General features: G+C 43.3%; 1 protein-coding gene and 1 gene segment (V, D, J or C); both read right to left on the reverse strand.

The window, feature by feature from the left end:
* Positions 1-1,785: 1,785 nt before the first annotated feature.
* Positions 1,786-2,511, reverse strand: LOC107985528 (immunoglobulin kappa variable 1-39-like). The segment is given in 2 exon segments: positions 1,786-2,338; positions 2,463-2,511. Coding segments are annotated over 2 exon segments (372 nt in total).
* Positions 2,512-14,718: 12,207 nt separating this feature from the next.
* The window catches only part of SRGAP2B (SLIT-ROBO Rho GTPase activating protein 2B), a 208,093-nt gene continuing 200,224 nt past the window's right edge, over positions 14,719-22,587 (reverse strand). For all 11 annotated transcript variants that reach the window (XM_005277421.5, NM_001385227.1, NM_001366280.2 and 8 more), the window contains 2 exons: positions 20,839-20,940; positions 14,719-19,812 (listed from right to left, as the gene is read on the reverse strand). In XM_005277421.5, the coding sequence (XP_005277478.1) occupies positions 19,591-19,812; positions 20,839-20,940 (324 nt within the window). In that variant the 3' untranslated portion in view covers positions 14,719-19,590. The remainder of the gene's footprint in view (positions 19,813-20,838; positions 20,941-22,587) is intronic.

Below are 22,587 nucleotides of genomic sequence, written 5' to 3' on the forward strand. Positions count from 1 at the left end.
ATTGTGGAAACAGAAAAGAGAACTAGAAGGAGTGAGAGGAAGTAGAAATATTTGAAGAGAAGGCAGAGGAAGAAGAGCCAACAAAGAAATAGAGAAGGAAGGAGGAGAGAGTAGTATTTTGGAAGTGAGTTAAAGGAGGAAGTTCAATAACTGAAGATGCTAAGTAGACTCCAAGTAAGTTGTATACTGAAAATAGTCATTTGGAGTTGCCAGTTGGAAGCTTACTAGTACCCTTACTAAAGCAGCCTCAGTAAGGCAGCAGGAACATGAGCCAGATCACAGAGGACCGAGGGCTGAGAAGGATGAAGTGGGGAGAGATGGAGTTGCTTATTATTATTATTTTTTTCTTTGAGACAGAGTCTTGCTCTGTCACCAGGCTGGAGTGCAGTGGCGTGATCTCGGCTCACTGCAACCTCCGCCTCCTGGGTTCAAGCCATTCTCCTGCCTCAGTCTCCTGAGTAGCTGGGACTACAGGCGTGTGCCACCACGCTGGGCTAATTTTTGTATTTTTAGTAGAGATGGGGTGTCACCATCTTGGCCAGGATGGTCTCGATCCCTTGACCTTGTGATCCGCCCTCCTTGGCCTCCCAAAGTGTTGGGATTACAGACGTGAGACACCACGCCTGGCAGAGTTGCTTATTTTTTTAAGAAATTTGACTCTGAAGGACAGTAGAGATAAGGAACTGGCTGAATCTAGGGAATATTTTTTTCTTCTTTTTCTTAACTAAATGGGATTGCTCCTGGAAAAGAGTTCCTGCTTTTGTGTCTTTTTTTTTTTTTTTTTTTTTTTTTTTGAGATGGAGTTTTGCTCTTGTCGCCCAGGCTGGAGTGCAATGGCGCAATCTCGGCTCACTGCAACCTCCACTTCCCGAGTTCAAGTGATTCTCCTGCCTCAGCCTCCCCAGTAGCTGGGATTACAGGCATGCACCACCACACCCAGCTAATTTTGTATTTTTGGTAGAGACGGGGTTTCTCCATGTTGGTCAGACTGGTTTCAAACTCACAACCTCAGGTGATCCGCCCACCTCGGCCTCCCAAAGTGTTGGGATTACAGACGTGAGCCACCGCACCCAGCCTGGTTTTGTATCTTTTGAAGTATATGGAATGATTTGGGATTATTCTTGATGTTATGGCACTATTTGTATAATCTAAGAAATTTTTAAAAAGCATTTATTTGTGGCTTGAATTTTAAATTGAATTTTTAAAAAATTTATTGAGGAAAATTTGAAATATACTCATAGAGAAACTAATGTCTTTGATATATAGCCCCAAGTTTTAACAGTTAATGTTTTTGTCAGTCTTTTTCACCTTGATCTATTTTAATGCAATTCCAGATACCTCGTCATTTCACCTGTAAGTGCCTAAGTAAAGATCATGATTTTACATGATTTTCTTTGCATGATTTTTGCAGATTTTCTAAGTAGTTCCACTTTAGGATCCAAAAGTAAAACCGAATTATTAATGTTACAGAAGAATTACCTACCTAGCAGTGGATTTATCAAAGCATTCCTGTCTGGGAAGACCTGGGCTTCCCAGACAGGACTGAGGATCATCACACGGTGTTCAGCACATACCACCAGGGGCAGGTGCACCCTGGCTTCTGAAGTAGCACCTGAGAATCCCCTGTGTCTAGTACCTGCTTCATGAATAACATTCCATAGGCTTCGGAAAGACTGTGGTTTAGGCTCTAATTTATTCAACTTGAATAATTTCTCCTTGAAATACTGAGAATAGCTTCTCTTTTGCTGTACAAATTCCGATTATCCCATAACACAGACTCCTCAGTTGGACTTATCTCTCTTCTTTATTCAGTCAGGACAGGCATTGTCACATCTTTTCTGCTGGGGATGAGGGTGAAAGAGGCTTAGGGTTCAGAGGAACCTCCCTGGCCTCCTCTAGGAAAATCTCCCAATGACTTTCCAAACCTGACTGAGTTTGAGAACTTCCCTCAGCAGATAGAGGCACCGGAAGGAGCATTGGGGCAGCCCAGCCTCACACATCTGCTTCCTTGGGGATTATGTTATGACTTGTAACGCTGTGGGAGGGGTACTGTCACTCTGTTGACAGTAATAAGTTGCAAAATCTTCAGGCTGCAGGCTGCGGATGGTGAGAGTGTAGTCTGCCCCAGATCCACTGTCACTGAACCGAGAGGGAATCCCACTTTGCAGACTGGATGCAGCATAGATCAGGAGCTTAGGAGTTTTCCCTGGTTTCTGCTGATACCAATTTAAATTATTGCTAATGCCCTGACTCGCCCGGCAAGTGATGGTGACTCTGTCTCCTACAGATGCAGACAGGGAGGATGGAGACTGGGTCATCTGGATGTCACATCTGGCACCTGAAGTTGGAAACATAAAAACAAATATTGTCGCAATTAATCATGTTATCAGAGGACTTCCCTGAAGTTCCAGACAGTACTGAGCACACTGACCGAGTATAATCCTAGTGTTCTCCTTCCTTACCTGGCAGCCAGAGCACCAGGAGCCCCAGGAGCTGAGTGGGGGCCCTCATGTCTGTGCTGTGTCCTGACTGGGGCTGACTCCTGCACCGGGTGTGACCAGCCTATAAAAAGTCTTCAGGGCAGGGGGCTGTGCTCTAGGAACAGGCAAATCAGCAGGGGATGGGGCAGGCTGAGCACAGCTGCAGGGCTGGCTCATCTCAGTAACTCAGCACAGGGGCGCAGTATCCCCAGAGTCCCAGGTCAAACCAGGGCAGCACAGATTTACCTTGAAAGAATGCATTTCTCATTGGTGGCCATATGGTTACAGAACATATGTTTGGAGTGAATTTTCAAAATTTTAAATCAACCTAAGACTAGATTAAATAATATATTTATACTTGTATTAGGAGTGTATAGGAAAGCATCATTTTTGGCAGAAAATTTACAATAAAGTTGTAGAATGTGGGGCTGTCAGAAATTTCAGTTAGTCTCAAAGGAATTTGATGAGTGTAAAAGTATTTAGTGCTATAATAACAATGTCAGTGTGAAATTGCTTCTTGTTTGAAATGAATATAAAAAGAATTTATCAGAAGCATCTTTAATAAATTCAATAGAATTTACTAACAAACTTAAGACATTGTCCCTAGGAGTAAAAGGAAAAACAATTCTCTGAAGATGCACAAAGATGATAACTGTGTCACGCATAGATCTGCCATTATCCAGAGCTATGGGTCTCTTTAAGACCCAGGGGCTAAATGGGCTGCACCTTATTCTTGGTGTGATGATCCCCATATTCTATCCCCTTTCCTGCCTTTGGTATAATTTCTTATGGTTCTCCAGCATGGAGAGCTGACTAGTAATACCAGGTCTCATTATTTCAACTAAAATCTCTGTTTCACGCGCTGACTATAGGAGCCTGGATTAAAATCAACTTGAAGCCCTGTATCAATCTAGGCCCAAATAGTCAATTGTTTCAAAGTAGGATGACAAAGGCCACATCCCCTGAGTAATGCTCTGAGCTGCGCTCCCCACCAGCCTGTTCCTGGGGTCTCAGGAGCATCTGCCCTAGAGTCTGGCTTTCTGGAGAGCAGGTGAGGGGGAAAAGCCAGGTCAGTGAGCCTCTCTCCTTAGCGAGGGCAGCTGCTGCACAAGGCATGTTCTTGCCATGCACCAGGGCATCATCCTGACCCAGATGCCAGCCACCCTGTCTCACATGCATTTAGAGAGAATCTCCATCCTCTGCCAAGACACTGCCCATGTAGATGAAAAAGTGTTTTGCATCCAAACATATCTTAAGCACTGATTTGAACCTCAATACTTCACACAGATGCCTTTGCCCAGGGCGTGTCGGCCTGGCTCAACAGCAGGGGAAGTGGAGCCAATTACATCAGTGTCAGTGGACTGAGAAATACTCCAGGGAGTAGTTCTCATGCACGACTACGCATGGCCAGACCAAGGTAGTGCAGCCTATGCACAAACCTCCTCCTGCTTTTCCAGAGGACTGGATTTCTGGGAAATGGCTACCAAACAGGCTGCCAGGATCCATATATCCAGATTCAGAGAGATACATCTCTGGATTCAAATGCACTTTTTCTTTGTGCATAATTTTAGCAGTCATTGTTACTATGCCTTGGGGATTCTAGACATTATACTTCAGCTGACTCTCTATGGCCCTTTCTCCCCTTCACTGCTCTATCTGAACCTGGGGAAGCAGCTCAGGCTGCAAATGAGGCAGACCTCATGGCCTGGAATTAGCATCCCCTAGGACGGTTGTCAATCAGTGATGACAAGGGAGGTGTACACATCCCCCAGCTCCCTCACCTCTCAGGTGGAATAACAGAGGCATTTTTCCTGTGTTTCTATGTGGGCTTGAGCGCTCGTCATCCTCAGAGGTGGCTCCTTCTGAGGCACTTTTCACTTTCCCTTTCCCTCCTCCCCTCCCTTGCTCACTTGCTTGTTTCCCGCACTTTGTAAATATACTGCCTGCATGCGAATCTTTGGCATCCTTCTCACTGAGGGGACCCAACCTAATGCATTGGAAAAATCCTCATTCTTGGAGGGCATCGTTGGTTTGAATTATTGCCACTTCTCATGTTTTAATGCCTAGGGAAATTCCAAAAATTTAGGAAATCTTTAAATTCCCTTTGCCAATCTTTCTTAGATTTGATTTTAGCAGAGATTCGTTTTCTCTAGGTCACAAAATCACAGAAGCCTTCCACAAATGGCTACACAATATAGAGTCCACATAGAGCAGAGGCTCAGAATCTCCCAGGATTTGACATCCACACATCAGACAGTCCTAGAGTCTCATGTTTTTTCTAGGTCGATCGCCTCATAAATCTGCCTTGTGATATTTTTATTCTACCTTAGGGGAAGGCCATTGTGTGGATGATGAGAGTTGTTTGTGGAATGAATAATACACCCACTAAAGACATCTTTGTCCTAATATCTGGAATCTATGATCATTACTTATGAACAAGTCAAAAATAACTTGGCAGACATGGTTGAGAATTTTGAGGTCAGGAGAATATCCTGAATTATCTGGGTGAGACCATCATAATCACAAGGGTCCTTACAATAGGGAGGGAGGAAGGTAACAGCCAGAGAGGACCTGGGACAATGGACAGGGAAACTGGAGTGATGGAGGAAGGGGCCATGCTGCTAGGAATGTGGGAACATCAGAAAGATGGAATGCTCGACATTGGATTCTCTCTCTTGAAGCCTAGAATGAATAGAGCCCTATTACTCCTTGATTTTACTTCATTGAGACTTCTGACCTCCAGAAATGTAAGATAATACACTTGTGTGATGTGGAGCAGTAAAGTTGTGGTAATTTGTTACAGCAGCAACAGGAAACCAATGCAAGGGGAAGGGGTGTGTTTTACTTCCCTAGTGTATCACTGTCCTCTGTTCTCCCAAGTAGTTCTGTGTTTTTGTGTTTGCTGTCAATTTCAACAAGAGACAGAAAACATTTTTCTATGAGGAGAGCTAGTACCACAATTCTTCTTACGTAGAAAGTGTCTTGAGTAATTCTCTGGGTTAGGTCTTGTACAATCTTGGTATCTGAGAGCCTGGAGGTCATCTCTCACAGCACATGAGAAGAGGAAGGGGATGCGGGTTTGCTGTTTTAACATTCATAGGGCAAATTGGATGTACAAGACCCATTCTTTTTATTATTATTATTATTGTTAAGTTCTAGGTTACATGTGCACAACATGCAGGTTTGTTACATATGTATACATGTGCCATGTTGGTGCGCTGCACCCATTAACTCGTCATTTACATTAGGTATATCTCCTAATGCTATCCCTCCCCCCTCCCCACACCCCACAACAGTCCCCGGTGTGTGATATTCCCCTTCCTGTGTCCAAGTGTTCTCATTGTTCAATTCCCACCTATGAGTGAGAACATGCAGTGATTGGTTTTTTGTCCTTGCGATAGTTTGCTGAGAATGATGGTTTCCAGCTTCATCCATGTCCCTACAAAGGACATGAACTCATCCTTTTTCATGGCTGCAAGCGAGGACTGAGTCAGAGAGATGGGGATGGCAGAGGAGACAAAATGTGGTCAGGGCCGTGTAAGATGTGACCCTGCTGCCATATCTGAAAGAAAGGCTGTTGGTGTTTGTAAAGGCTTTGGGCAAATTGTGCTTTGTAGACAAAACTGTAGAAGGGTCTGGGTTTAAGCTTAGTGTCAGCGTGATGAGGACTAGAGGTCGTAGTGAGCTTGTGTTAAGAAATCCACCCTGCACTTCTGGCTTTGTCTCTTTTCTGGTTTTATAGGTGGTGGGTCCCTCTATGGAATGAACGTGGCTCTGTGGAAGGAACATAAGTTAAGGTCAGACAGACCTAGATTCCAATTTCAGCTTCGACAACTGCTGACCAAGTGACTTTTATGCAAATCAGCCATGTGCTGTCATGAACAGTTTCCTCATGTGTGAAATGGGGCACTGAGGATGTGAAGGGGTGTCCTGAGGGTTCCGCCAGCTGATGCACCATGAAGTGTACATCCATGTATAGACAGACACACACACATACATGAGAAGAGTATCTAGTGCCTCTTTTATGCATTCTTGAGTAACTCAGAATGTTATGTGAGATATTAACAGTCATATGTCATTTTCAACTAAAATTATCAGTATTTATCTTATAACTAACAGATGCTTCTCTGTACACTGTAGGTTTCATGTACATTTCTTCAATCACAAAATTTTTCACCAATCTATTTACGTCTAGTATCAGAAAGTTAAGCAAGGAGATTGCAAACCAACACAACACCTTTAGTCTGGATTTTCCTGGAGCCCATTTGTGTTAGTGTCCTCGGGCTACTGTAACAAGTTCTCAAAAATGTGGTAGCTTCAAACAACAGGAATGGAATCTCTCATAGTTCAGAAGTCCAGATCAGTTTCACTGGGCTAAGATCTTGGAGTCATCAGTTCTGGCTCCTTCTGAAGCTCTAGGGAGCAGTCTGATTTAGCTCTTCCAGCTTCTGGTGGCTTCTCTCTCCCGGGATGTGGACACATCACTGCAATCTCTGTCTCTGTGTTCACACTGCCTTCTCCACTTCAGTCTATGCTAAATGTCTCTCTACCTCTTGTTTTTTTTAGGACACTTGAGTTTGCATTTAAGTCCCAGTTGATTAATCTAAGACCATCTCCCTGTTTCAAGCTCCTTAATTTACACCTGCAAAAGCTGTTTTCCCAAATGAGATACATGCATAGTCTTCATGGAATGAAACCTCACTATTTGGGGATGATACTCAGTACTACACCATTACATAACCAGGTCTCAGTGTTAGTCCTGTACATACATCACAATCTCTCTCTCTCTCTCTCTCTCTCTCTCTCTCTCTCTCTCTCTATGTCCACACACCCTGGCTTCCTCCTTTTCTCAATGTCATAAATCTCTTCAATTCCTTAAGTGTATCCAGTGATACCTATAAACAAATAAGTATCTGAGAAAAGTCTCAATCAGTTTAGAAATTTACTTGGTCAAAGTTAAAGAAATATCAGTGAAACAGCCTCAGGAGGTCTTGAGAACGTGTGTCAAAGGTCGTCGGGCTACAGGTTGGTTTTACACGTTTTAGGGAGACATAAGATATCAATCAATACGTGTAAGCTGTACATTGCTTTGACATGAAAAGGCAGGACAGCCCGAAGGAGGGGGGATGTTGGGGACTTCCAGGTTATAGGTGGATTCAAAGATTTCATAGGTGGTTGAAAGAGTTTATCTAATGACCTGTAATCAACACAAGGGAGTTTCTGGGTTTAGAAAAAGGGTTTTGGAGCCAAGGTTGCATCATGCAGATGGAGCCTCCAGGTAGCAGGCTTCAGAGAGAATAGATTGTAATTGTTTCTTAGTAGACTTAAAAGGTGCCAAACTCTTAGTTAAATCTCTCTGGGTCAGGAAAGAGACTTAAAAAGGAGTCTCTACAGAATGTAGATTTTTCCCACAAGAACCAGCTTTGCAGAGGCATTTTTCAATACATTAAATAACAATATCTTGGGGAAAATACTTTGATTTCTCTTAGGACGTGGTATCTGTCACATTGGTATCTTATTGCTATAAAGAGTTTTCTTTGTCAGTCTCAAGGTCTCTGTCTTCATATTAAAAGCTGGTCAGTTGTGCCTGAATTTTAAAGGGAAGAGGGTAAGTTAAGGCATATCCAATCATCCGTTCCGATCATGGGCTGCATTGTATTTCAGGTTGATTTTGGTGTGTGCTTGGCTGAGAGGAGGAGTTCATTCAGTTGGTTAGGGAGCTTAGAGTTTCATTTTTGGTTTACACACCTATGTCCAGGTAAGAGGGCCCCACACAGGAGGGCTTGCTCAGAACCTGGCTTGCAGGGCTGCTTACAGACCTTCTATGTCTCCTGTTGTCATGCACAAGGAAGGACACAGCCAATGACAACCCTCAGCCATCCGGGGAGAAGCTGTGTCTGCAGAGGACGGTCATGAGCTGTGAGTCTAGAGACCTGTGATTGTCTTCAGGGGCCTGTGGTCCTCGGCTTTCGTAGGAGTTGTGGGGGCACTGGCTCAAATAGCATCCACCAGGATTCTAATCAGAATATCTCATTCACAGAAGGCAGTGGGTGATATGACAGCACAGAGGGACTCTGTGGGTCCAGCTGCATGGAGCACTCTGGGAGAGTCACTGGCACCCGTGCTAGACAGAGCTTCATTCAAGTTCTGGAGCACACGGATTTAGATCTCTTTACATCATTTTGAAAGACCATTTATCATTCTGAAGGAAACCCCTGTAATTAACTAAGGTAACATCTTTAATAGGTAGAAAGAAAAAACTGATTATTTTATTGCCAAGATGATTACAAGAAAAGAAAGAAACAAAAATAGCACGAAGGAAAGAGCAACACTAGACTGAGGGCTTTGGGTAAGAGGTTGAGACTTAGTAGTGAATGCCCTGGGCCATCTTCTGTCAAAAGGGAGGGACAATCAGCAAAGGGAAATATGCAGTAGAGGCAAAATCTTGGTTAGTAAAAGAATCCTAAGAGAAAACAAGAAGTCTCCTTCCTGAGCATCATGTTGGTGTCGGGAAGATGCACATAATCCCCCCATTGCATGTCTTACAGTTTTCAGCAATTAGGGCTCAGCACGAATTTAGAAGACACCATTCACTTCACAGCAGATGGGGACACAGTCAAGGCAGCGGTGAGAGGCAAGGCTGGGCTTTCAGTCTCAGAGCACAGAGCAGGTTCCCCACTACTCCGCACCCTTGTGTCTCCTCCCAGATGTTCCACCTCATTCTTGGCTTAAGGGCTCCAAGTTGTTAATGGGACAGTAGCCCTCTTCCTTTCCCAGGGTTTCTAAGAATTTGGCTCTCTTTTGTGTATTGCGGGGTTTGTTTGCCATCTAGAGGCAGGTTTTTGGCATAGCAACTTATAGGCTTTTTCTACTTGTGATAGCGAAAATAAATACATAAATAAATTCATCATAAGTAATAAATTGACTTAATGCATTGAATCTGTAAAAAAAAAAAAAAGGTCAGTTTGAGAGCTTAAAAGGAGCCTGATGAGGTTAAAAAGACAAATTACCTTTAGTAAAGGGCAGTTGGAGCAATAGATGATTCTTTCTTTAATCAATGACATTTTAGGAGTAATTATCAAATGGTAAATAAAACTTGAAATAAGCTGATACACTATAATTTTATATGAAAAAAATATTTCCAAGAACCATACAAATACATTTTCAGATTAAAACAAACAAAAATGTGGGTTTATCATCAGATCCGCTAAATGGAAGATTTCTCAAATGTGTGCTTGGAGCAAAAATAACACTTATCCCTATTTGAAAGTTCAAGATTTTTGAGCTTTCGAAGAAAACAGCTTTCCCTTCACTCTGTTCCACTCACACTTCTGAGGATGGCCATGGGGCAAAAAGCCGCGGCGGGCATAAACCCGAGGCGGCGGGGGGGGCAAAAAGCCGCGGCGGGGAAAAAGCCGTGGTGGCAGGGGGCAAACAGCCGCGGCGCTGGTGGGGCAAAAAGCCGAGACGCGCAAAAAGCTGCGGTGGCGGAGGCAAAAAGCGGTGGGAGCAAAAAACCATATAACGTCGCGGCGGCGGGGGGCAAATAGCCGCGGCGGCGGGGGCAAAAAGGTGCAAAAAGCAGTGGTGGCGCGGGCAAAAAGCCACGGCGGCGGGGGCACAAAGACGCAAAAAGCCGCGGCGGCGGGGGGGGGGGGAGGGGTGGGGGAGGGGCGACAAAAAGCCGCGTCCGCAGGGGGGAAAAATCCGGGGGGGCAGGGGGGCAAAAAGTCGCGGCGGCGGGGGGCAAAAAGCTGTGGCAGCGGGGAGGCAAAAGCCGTGGGGGGCGAAAAGCCGCGGCGGGCAAAAAGCCGCGTCGGCGGGGGGGAAAAAGCCGCGGCGGCAAAAAGCCGGGTCGGGCAAAAAGCCGCGTCGGCGGGGGGGAAAAAGCCGCGGCGGCAAAAAGCCGGGTCGGGCAAAAAGCCGCGGAGGCAAAAAAAGCCGCGGTGGCAGGGGGCAAAAAGCCGCGGCGGGCAGAAAGTCCTGGGGGCGGGGGGCAAAAAGCCACGGCCGGCAAAAAACCGCGGCGGCAGGGGGCAAAAAGCCGGGTCTGGCAAAAAGCCGTGGAGGCAAAAAGCCGCGGTGGGCAGAAAGCCATGGCGGCGGGGTGCAAAAAGCCGCAGCGGGCAGAAAGCCGCGGCGGGGGGGCAAAAAGCCGCGGCCCGCAAAAAGCAGCGGCGGCGGGGGTGCAAAAAGCCGCTGCGGGCAAATAAGTGCGGCACCGGCGGGGGGGGTAAAAGGCCGGGTCGGGCAAAAAGCCACGGCGGCGGGGGTGCAAAAAGCCACAGCGGCGCGGGGGAAAAAGCCGTGGCGGGCAGAAAGGCGCGGCGGCGTGGGGGAAAAAGCCGCGGCGTTGGGGGCAAAAAGCCGCGGTGGCGGGGGGGCAAAAAGCTGCGGTGGCGGGGGGGCAAAAAGCCGTGACCGGCAAAAAGCCGTGGTGGCGGGGAACAAAAAGCCGCGGCGGCGGGGGCGGGCAAAAAGCCGGGGCGGGCAAAACCCCGAGGCGCCGTGGGGGCAAAAAGCCGGGGCGGGCAAAAAGCCGGGGCGGGCAAAAACCCGCGGCGGCGGTGGGGCAAAAAGCTGGAGCGGGTAAAAAGCCGCGGCAACAAAAAGCCTCGGCGGCGGGGGCGCAAAAAGCCGCGGTGGGCATAAACCCGAGGCGGCGGGGGGGGGGGGGTGCAAAAAACCGCCGTGGGGAAAAAGCCGCGGCGGTGGGGGGCAAAATCCCGCGGCGGGCAAAAAGCCGCGGCGGCGAGGGGGGTCACAACAAAGCCGCGGCGGGCAAAAAGCCGAGGCGGGGTGGGGGGGGGGGAGGGGGGGAAGCCGCGGCGGCGGGGGGCGAAAAGCCACGGCGGCGGGGGGTAAAAAGCCGCGGCGGTCAAAAAGCCGAGGCGGGGTGGGGGGGGGGGAGGGGGGGAAGCCGCGGCGGCGGGGGGCGAAAAGCCACGGCGGCGGGGGGTAAAAAGCCGCGGCGGTCAAAAAGCCGAGGCGGGGTGGGGGGTGGGGGGGGGGAAGCCGCGGCGGGGGGCGAAAAGCCACGGCGGTGGGGGGCAAAATAGTGGAGATGGGGTAGAAGGACGGCACAGTTTGGTATTGCTGGAGTGTGATGTGATAGGAAATGTGCAGCCAAAGAGAAAAAAAGATGTAAGTAAGCTTGACTCATTGCAGCTAAGAACCCAGATGTTATCTTGAGGGTATTAACTAATAAGCAGTTTAAATCAGAATGGCATATTCTGATTTGTTTTTTGTATGTTCACATTTGGCAGGCATAGATACTGTTTGAAGAGAGAAAAGACAGTAGATAGAGGTAACAAACTTAAATATGTGCGAAGTCTAGAAACAAGAGACCGGGGGATAAGGACCTTTCAAAATAAAATGCAAGATTTGAAAACTGATTGGCTGGGGCATGAGGAAAAGGCAGGTCTTTAAGGTCAATCCCTGTTTTGCTTTGTTAGGGGTTGGTTTTATCACATATTGTAGAACATGTCATTTCAGTTTTGAACATCTTGAGTTAAATTGTCCTAACATATCTTATGAATTTGATTTTCTTCCCTGGGAAGCTAATATTTCAAAAACTGAAAGAGTATATACATTTCCAACTTGTATCCAATTTATAAAACTATCTCTAGGCTGCTGATTTCAGGAGGAGGCTCATGAATATTCTCTTTGCAGAGAATATATCAGGAGTTAACAACAGCTTCAATATTTGTGGACGACCAGTTAACTAAATCACCTCTTAGTGTATTTAGATGGGAAATCTTAGCTGAAGATATTCAATAATGAACCAACAGTGACTAAAAAATTCAACATTTAAGTATATTTCATTGTAATTAATTTGAATTGAAGTAGCAGCTAGTATTTACTACATTGAACAATGCAAATAAGAGGAAAAAATTAATAACCATCTCTAATACCACATGCCAAAATCCTCATCAATTTATTCTAGCTAAAGGAGTTGATCAGAAGCAGCAGTTGAAAGCACCAACTAAACCAGCTGGGGTTGGTTCACTGTCATTCTCTCAGAACCATCTCTTCTCTGAACAAAACAAGTACAGGAGTTCATTGTGAATCTGCATTCTCCTTGCCTATTTTAAGGTTTTGATGTTGACGCAAATTTGTGAAATCCCTCCTGTGGTGTGATATTTCGTTTTCCTTGCTTTGTGTTAGGACAAGAATGCTTCAGCTCTTAATTTAAAATTATGTTTCTCCCTCCTAGGTTGAGTGAACTTAGAATGCATTCTCTGACATATCCAAGATTTTGTTAATATGAATTTCGGGAAAAAAGCATACTTAATTAGCTAAGACGTCTTATTCTAAGCTTGACCCTATGTTCGACATCTTTTGAATTTCTGGTTGCGTGGGCTGCTCTCTGACACTGGTTAGTGACCTGGAAGCTCTATTAATGTTAGGGGAGGTGGTGTATGAGCATTAGAGGTATCCTTGCAAGGAAAGACTTGTCTTATCTCAATACTTCTTTTTTTTTGCACACAAGAAAGTCAATGTCTGAGTCTTCTAAAATCTTCCTATTTCCAAATTGCAGATTATGATTGATTCCTAAACAAAGACCTAATTTTTGACTCAGAGACGTGGCAAGCTAGTGAATCACCGTTATAATTTAACAATCTTCAAGATAAAATTATCTCTGATATTTAGATTTTGCCCAATTATTAAGATATTTGGGTGTTCCGTTAAGAATGGAAAACTCTAGTCTCTTGAGCAGAGACTATAAAGGCCTCAGATGATCATTTTTAATTTTATGCTCTTTTCTTTAACACCTTCAACACAGTTGGAAGCAGCCGATATTCCGCAGAGTTGTTGTGTTTTTTAAACCAAATGCATGGTTCAGTGGTAGAAAACTGGGCTGATCCAAGCTGTTTTCAGTAAACACTTCATTTCAGGTGACCCATTTCATATTAAATAATCTCTAGATCCTGTCTTCGAAACTAACTAGATCAGATAAACTACCCTGGATTTTCTCTTTTTAGGGTCTGAGAGCTGCAGTCACTTTTGTGAAAATGATTACAATGACAAGATAGAGTTGTAGATGGGGAAAATGTTTTGACTAATTTAAGCACAGTGGTATTTCATATGAGAATTTAAGTTACACACATTTGAAAATTATAATGGAGTCTCTTGGCTGAGCTTTAAAAAGAAATAGCGTTTAGGCTAAAAAGGGAACTGCTACCTCTCCTAAAATCAGAAAGATGTTACAGTAATTCTCCATTCTCTAGAATTATCAAGAAGCACCTTTGTGATGATTTACTTTTGCTCCTGCGAGTGTGAGCCCGTGTAGTCGTGGAACCATCAATTAGAATGGTGGCTTTCTGATCCCAAAGTCACTCGTTCTGAAAACAATATTTTCCATAAATTTGAAAGTGAGAAGTTTTGATCTTGCCATTCCCAAGTAACTCTCTTAATAAGAGGCATCAGCATGCTTCAGTGACAGCTGTCACCTTCCATTGCTGAGAGTCATCTTTGAGTTCTCTATTTCACTCCCTACACTCCAATTTAGCTGCAGTTCTCTTGGCCAGTCCTATGAAATACATCCATGGCCTAACGACTTCTCACCACTACTACCACTCATGCTGACAGCATTCTCACCTAAGTCACTACCTTTTTTTGCTGGATTAGAGTAGCCTCCCAATTTATTTGCTCACATAACCTATTTATTCTACACAGTGCACCAGATACACCCCTTTGAAATGCAAACACAATCATATTATTCTCTGGTGAAATTATCTCATATATTCCTATCGCATTTAAAATTAATTCAGAATCATCCCATGATTATCAAAACCCTACATGCTCTTCCACAACATGGTTTACTTCCAAGATATCTCTTCAACATTTTTTTCACTGTACTGAATTGGTGACTAATAGTCATATTTTTGTTTTTGCTCAAAAAGTCTTGACTTGTAAATTTTTCAGTTTCTCCTTTATCCACAGGTAACTCTTTCCTGATAAGGCGAATTGCTTGCTTCCTTGAATTCTGCTCTCAAAGATACCCTTCATTTTCTACCTAATATTAATAACTTTAATCATTCATTATTCCATTACTATGCTCTATAGTGTATACAATTTCTGTTCTTTGTCATGTTATTAACTAAATTATTTATTGGGTCCAGTAACGTATTCCATAAATATTGTACACATAAAAATTGTGTTATTTTTATTCCTGTATGCTCAGCTGCCCAATAACAGTCTGAGGATTAACATATTTGTTAAATGCACAAATACATTCTTTCACAAATATTAGTTTAATAATTTTATGTTAAACTCCCTCTATACTTACAATATGAATTAGATAATTCAGAATAAACATTCCATTGGAAAAAGCTACACAACTTGTTATAAAACATCCTTAAAAGCATCAGAAAATTAATACAGCAATGAAGAATTACAGGACCAAATTAAGAATGGTATGAAAGCCTGTTTGTGACGCTTATGTTTGGGTTATCTCTTTATTTGAGTGACTATAAATCTCAAAAGAGAACTAAAGGGAGAAATAACCGTATCTACTAACATGCTAAGGGTACTTAAACATCTCTTAGTAATTGAGAAAATTGAAAGAAAAGAAAAAAGAGAAAGGGAGAAAGAGAGACAGCGAAAGGGATAATGAAGGAGAGAAAGAAGAAGAGAAAGGAAGAGGAAGAAAAGTAAAAAGGAGGAGGAGGGGGAAGGAAGAAGGAAGAAAGGTGAAAAGAAAGAATGGTAAACTTTTTAACAACATAATTTATCCTTCTAGAATATGAATGTTGGTCTATTTGATGATGTCCCACAGATTCATTAGTCTGTGCTCATTGTTTATTTTTTATTCTTTCTGTTTCTCAGAGTATTTTCCATTTTCTTCTCTTCAAGTTCATGGCTTCCTCTGTGTGTGCAAATATACTCTTAAATCCCTCTGGTGATTTTTAAATTTTTATCATTGTAGTTTTCCACTCCAGAATTTGTTATCTCTTTGCTGATATTCCTACTTTTTAATATTTTTTCTGATTCCTTTATTTCTTTGTTTATGTTTTCCTTTTGACATTTGAGTATAATGAAGACAGTTGTTTTAAAGTCTTTGTCTGGTAAGTTTGATGTCTGGGTTTCTTTAGGGATATTTTCTGTCACTTTATTTTGTTCCTTTGAATGAGCCACACTTTCCCATTCTTTGTATGCCTTGTAACGTTTTTTGAAAACTGGACATTCTAATAATTATAATTACTATGTGGTTACTCTGTAAATCAGACCTCCCCCTACAAACACAGTGATGTTTTGTGGTTTTAAATTTTCTTTACTTATTATATTGTTAAGGATTTTTTTTTTTAGTGAAATTTTCCAAAGTGATTTACAAAACTGTTTGGTTTATAAGGTGTGGTCACCGAAGTCTTTTTGTTTCCTTAACAAATGTTAAGCTAATGTTTTGACAGTGATTTTCTGGTATGTCAGGAGCCAATCAAACAGGCAAATACAAGAAAAACAAAAAGAAAAGCAAGTAATCATTGTCCAGCAAAATATGTCTGTAGGCCATGCAGACTGGCTTTGTGCTGGGTTCTTTAAAGCCGGCACAAAGTGTGTGTTCACTCTTGCACTGAGTGAAGTTCAAGTTCACTCTTGCACAGAGCTTGCACTGAGGGGAGGGATCGGCCAAGGTAAAAGTGTAGGGTCTTCTTATGACATTTGTCAGCATGTGGCTTAACCTATGAATACGTGTGACTTTGTAGACTCTCCCATGTACGTGAATGAGGCATGCGCCACCACGCCCAGCTAATTTTTTCGTGTTTTTAGTAGAGACGAGGTTTCTCCATGTTGATCAGGCTGGTCTCAAACTCCCGACCTCAGGTGATCCGCCCGCCTCGGCCTCCCAAAGTGCTGGGATTACAGGCGTGAGCCACCACGCCCAGCAGATTTATTTATTTTTTAATCTTTCTTTTTTTTTTTTAGGCAGAGTCTTACTCTGTCACCCAGGCTGGAGTGCAGTGACACGATCTTGGCTCACTACAACCTATGCCTCCCCGGTTCAAGTAATCCTCCCACCTTAGCCTCCTGAGTAGCTGGGATTACAGGCGCCTGCCACCACACTCAGCTAATTTTTGTGTTTTTAGTAGAGACAGGGTTTCACCATGTTGTCCAGGCTGGTCTTGAACTCCTGGCCTCAAGAGACCCACCCGCCTCAGGCTCCCACAGCGCTGGGATTACAGGCATGAGCTGCCATATCTGGCCTATTTATTTTTTAATTTTTCAAATGAGAAGGTTGGGTTAGGTAATTTTTAAAAATCGCTTCAAGTTTCTTAACTCCACAATTATTTTCCTGAGACTCTTGCAAGCAACTGATCTTTATAGGTCATGCCTCAAATTCCCAATTGATGTCATCTGGGCAAATCAGTCCAATGACAGCCACAAGTGGTCAGAAAGCTTTCTTAGCAGCCCTCTTGGTCACTAGGCACACTACCTAGGAGTCAACCTGTGACAAGAGGCTGCTTCTTAAACTTACAAAAGATAGGATCTTCCAGGATGTGCTGCTCTGATGTTTTTGAAGGGCATAGAGAAACACACGGGCAATGTTTGCAGAGGCAACAGACTAAATAAAGCACATCTATAGTTGTATTGGCTTTGTGTGGGTTGTATGGTAAACAGGTAGTCACCCTGCTTAATGTGGGTATCCCATTTTCCATAAATGTCTATTTCACCACCCCAAAAAGCCCTCTTATCATGAAATTAATCATCTGATGCACTTCAAGTACCAGTCACAAAAATGATGAACTCAGGCAGAATTCCACTGCTAGACAAGCCCAGACAAAAACTGTTACTGTTAGCCAAGGAAATTTGCACACAATTTTGATAAGTGGCACTAAAGCCACATAAGACAGGAAATGGGTTAGAGGACATCAATGTATTGAGACAGAAAGTGAAAGGGTGGGCAGGATTTGCGAGGTTACCAGTTTGAATATGGCCATTCCTGCTTTTACTAAAGGTCAATTTAGAATACAAATGTTACAGAATTCATTTAGAGCCAAAAAGTAATTCTGACAAAGACTGTCTTAAAATGCAAGATTTTTAGGTCCAAAATTTCTTACGTAACCTAAAAAATGGAAATCTTCACAATGTAATGAGATTGGGTCATTTAAATAGTGTTATATCTAACCAGTCCAGACAGACCAGCTAAACAATCCTATTATTAAAAGCCTCTAGAGAGTGTTCAACAAACTCCTTAGATAATGAAGCTTGGGGCAGCAACACATCCCTCATTATAGTCAGAAAGTTCTCTTAACATGTGAGCCAGGTTATTGCGTGCATTTATGTTTTCCCACATGCTGCTCTTTCCTCAAGGAATGCGATTCTCCTCCCCGACTCCCTGCCTGGTTCGCTCATTCTTCAAGATCAAACACAAAAGTCACTGTGTGTGTGATGCTTCTCCAATTCCACTCATCCTGGCTGCCATTCATGCACTAGTGCATGTATGCATTTTTACATTTTTTAAATTACAAAAATCAACCTATTATAACTGCTTAGATATATATGAAGTAAAAATGAAAGTTCTCCCTTTACATGACCCATCCCCCATCATTTCCCTCTTTATCTTATACTGTCAGCATTCCCAGCTTGTAGCACAGTGTCTGGCAATAGTAAATCCTCAAAAAATGATCAATGAATAATTTAATAATGATTAATAAATAAATTAATGATGATGGTGAAGATAAATTTTTAGCATTTATTGAACGCTAACTACAAACCAGGGAGTGTGTTAAATATTTTATAAAAATCAATGAATGAGCTAAAATGCCATTCTATTATTTTTTTGTATAGGTTTTAATATTTTACTCATAAATATGCTTAAAGAATATTATAATTATATGACTTAGATTGTAAAACAATATGTACAGCAGTATCCTATTTTTTAGAATAAAATTATAAATATGTGCTCACATATGTGTTTGTGCATGCATAGAAAACAGATTAGAAAGGAATATATTCTAACACCATTATCTCTAGCTGGTAGAATTATGGAAAATTTTTATTTCCTTCTTTTTGCTTCTAAATTTTATATAATGAGCATATTTGGCTTTGTATAATCATTTTTAAAAAGTTGTTTTAGAAGAATAGTACTGATATATCATTCCCTTTTAGCAGTTTTCTCTAGGATAAAAAATAAGAGGAAGTCTGAGCTTAACTAATTAAAAAAACAGATTTCTTTAAAAAATATTAGCAAATCATTAGTGTTCTTACTGGAGAAAGGGCAGTGTTCAAAGAAGAATTAAACAAATCATTCCAGTTGCAGGAAAAATTCAATTTACTGCATGCAGACTGTTTCTTGACTGAAAAGTTAATTCCTTTCATTCAGAATCAGTATGCATATTCACTGGCTATATTTCATCTCACATCTGCAAACTTAATTTTTCCTTTCTTGGTCATCAGAAGATTAGGAAATAAATTTTAGTCCAGGCAATAGATCCTACTTGGCAAGCTCAAAATAACTCAATTATTAAAAAGCAGCACACAAAGACCAGTAGTGACTTCCAAAGGATTGTTAACAATACTTAAAAAAAAAAAAAAAAAAAAAAAAAGAGAAAAAAGGGTCCAACTGTCTAAAAGAAGACTAGAGATACATGAATAAGAAAATACGATGTTTTGGAATTATGTGCAAAATAGTAATGCTGCATATTACCCATCCTTTAAGTTTTAGCAATAATTAGAAAAAATAGTTTCCCAACAATAAAAGTTATAAAATAATGTCATCATATCACCTAGAAGAGATTATAGATTTTTATAAACAAAATATGTGTTATTATGAATATTTGTATGTACTCTCCAAGAACTAAAAGATGAAGTTCCCCTTTCAGGATCCCCTGTGCCTGAGAAGGAAACTTTCCAGTGAAAGCCTACTAGCTAGTTAAAAATTTCTTAAAAAAGAAAATCTTCTTAGTTGTATACTTGGGAGCATCCTTTCTCTTGGGCGGATCCCTGTTAGACATATACAACTTTTAATGTTTGCACCTTTAACTGTAGGGATGGTCTCTGAGTATGCCCACATTCGTATCTAAGATATTCAACGCCTGTCCTTCAGACACTTAACAAGGACTCTGAGTTCCAAATCTCCCTTGAGTGCTGCAGTGCATGCTGACGCTCTTTAAAAGCCATAGCACTCCCTCACTGTGAAATAAAACTGCTCTGTCTCTTGCTGGTTGGCTCTCCTCTTAGCAATGCTGGGCTTGCTCATGAAGGTTTCAGAGACCGTGGACTTGACGGACTCCATGGAGTTGCTGTACTGGAAGCAGTCAGACACATCGAAGTCCTCGACAGTCACAATGTCCTGGATGGTTTGCAGGGTGGCCTCCATTGTCTTCTTTACCTGCCACGACAAGGGCCAACAGGATGCATGAAGGGTGGGTTGTTAAACAGCAGGTGATGGAGAAGCTTGAAGAGAGTGGGCTGGGGAAGGCCACAGGATGCCATCAGAGTGTGCAGCTCTGCTTCCCACTGGACAGTGCTAAGTGAGAGGTAAACATCACATGGACTCTGCTACAGCATGCTACTCTCTACAGTGAAAACCTAAAAGCCACTACAACCCTTCATGCTATGTACTTGACCCAGATCTTTTAATGTTTACTTTTAAAATTTAATATTAGCATTATTATAATATTATATAACAATATTGTAATAGAAGTTTTAAGGGAAAGAGAATAAAATAAATCTAAACCAACCCCCTCATACAAACAGCTAATTAAAATGTGTGATGGGCCTAGTACTGCAAAGCCCCAGGTTCTGTTTCATGACCTTCAACAAACTGATGAACTTGTTTGCTCATTTGCAAACTAAGTGACCTATCCCTACTTCTTCCTGATCTTCCTGCAGAAAGTAAGACTTACTGAGACACAAGGTAAGAAGCCATCTGAGCTCAACAGAAAGCTGGATCACCCGCCCTTTTGAACCGCTTTTTGAAAGCAAATACACTGAGCCCAGAAGAAACTCACCCTTTCCTAAGAGGATGGAGATGTTTGAAGTGTCAAAGTCAAAGGCCTCTGTTTGTTTGAACATGCTGGAAAAAGCTAGGCATGAGGAGGTGGTTTCAGAGACACAATATTGTTCACACAGCTGCCAAGTGCCATTTTGATTAAATGTGTAGAGGGGAAAAAAAGCATTTCGCAAAAGCTCAAAATAGAGCACAACCTTTGGCAATGCAAGAGCAACTTCCTGGAGTTCAAGGGCAGGATGTAGCAGAGGGGGAAAGTCCAAGCCTACATTTGGCTAGGAAATGTTTGCGGCCGCCCGGACATTCTCTGCATGCTCCTTCCACCTGCTCCCAGACGGGCAGCAGCAAAAGTTTCAACAGGGAAACTAAGAGTGTGGCTTTGAGCCTCCTAAGGAAGAAACTCACCTCTTCGTTTTCAATCTTTAGAGTGGATAAGCGAGACTGCAGTTGTTGGCATCTCTGTAGCAGCTCACTCTGGACAGGCTGCTGGGCACAGAGCTGGGAAGCCTAACAAAAGAAAGCAACACCAGGTCAGAAAGAGGATACAGTCCCTTTGGCAGTTCCAGAGTTCCCATTACTGGCAATGAAACTACCCATATTCAAGGTATAAGGCTCGTGGTTTCTATGTTGAAGCAAAACCCAAAGCCAACTTGTGTGAGCCTCTTCCAGGACCAAACAGTACATGAAAGGAATGGGTAGGGGGATCTGTTTGGAGCCCGGCAGGGGTAGGTCTAGGTAGGGTCTGCAGCTCCATGGAAGGCTGAGGAGGCTGGAGAAGAGTGCCTCAGGCAGCTCCGGCTCCAGAAACACAATGCTTTGGCACAGTGAAGATTTCCTGCCAAAGGTCCAAGTGGCCACCTCTCTGGCCCCTCCCTCATCCCCCTTCATACACCAGAGTGAAAGCAGGAGAGAAGTGGGTCAGGAGGCTAACTTGCCACTGCTGGCAGCCAGCATGTGTTTACAAATCCAGGCCATGCATGAGAGCTTTGATTCAATGAGAAAGCGTGAAGCCAGGAACAAGTTCGTTGCCTATGCTTGAGGGCCCGAGAGGGTATGGAATCTGAAGGAGCTTGGCATTTTCCAAAGAGCCATCATTTTACCAGGCCTTCCCTAGATCTGTAAGAGAGGAGTCTGACCTTCCCGCAAGGATTATTGCCAATTAGCTTTCCCCTGTGTGAAGGAATGGCTGTTCCACTGTCTCCCATTGGAGATGTGGTTATGGGATGAGGTCATCCACAGTCCCCTGGATGACAGATGAGGAGCAGAAGGCTGAGAGAGTTGGGAGGCAGGACCCATGTGGAGACAGCTCCTGTCACCTTGTTACCGTTCGTCCTTTAGCCTCTTGCCTGCAGAGAGACATCTGGATAGAAATGGCCTCCTTCCTCCTCAGCAAAGAGTGGGCACATTCACATGCCCACGGACCATTCCCTTGCTTGAAAAGAAAAAACCTTTCTTCAAATGGAGGGGGCTGGGACTTGACCTTTTCCTCCATTGGCTTTTAAGCTCCCAACTGACTTGACCTCTTCCCCCAGCTGAGAGGCTGGCCTGAGCCAACTCTCAGATCCACAGAGAGCTGACTTCACTCTAACTCTTGGATAAGCAGACACAATGGAGAAAGCTCAGTGGCCAGAACCGGTTAGCGCCAAGAGTGAAATTCTCTGGCTGCCTGATGTCACCAGTCAGGCATCCAGAGTCCCACAGCCTCTGAGGGCACCAAAAATGGAGCCAAGCACCTCCTCCTAGTACATCTGAGAGCACTTGGCATCAATTCATGTGCTGTGCACCCCAGAACACCAGTTAGTGTGGGACCTTGGCCAATTTTAAGGCTTCCGGTCAAAATGCTACCCAATCTTTGGCCCTAGTTCAACGACTTCCAGGCAGCTCCCTCCTGTTGCCTCCACAATCTGCAGACAACCCACACTGATGGGGATAGACTGGCTGCAGAGGCCAAGAATGACCCACCCTCTCATCTCTTTTTATTTTCACTCATATGAAGGCTAGGCTAGAATGCGGAACCTTCACAAGCTCCAGGACTGGTCCTGGCCCCTGCCTGGCTCAGCCACTGATCAGCTATATTACATAAAGGGAGGGCCCTGGCAGAAGAGTGAGCTATTGATTTTTAAAGTAACCCAGACCTAGCAGAGAGGAATCATG

The sequence above is a fragment of the Homo sapiens genome, chromosome 1 (genome assembly GCF_000001405.40).
Source record: "Homo sapiens chromosome 1, GRCh38.p14 Primary Assembly".
Lineage (NCBI taxonomy): Eukaryota > Metazoa > Chordata > Mammalia > Primates > Hominidae > Homo > Homo sapiens.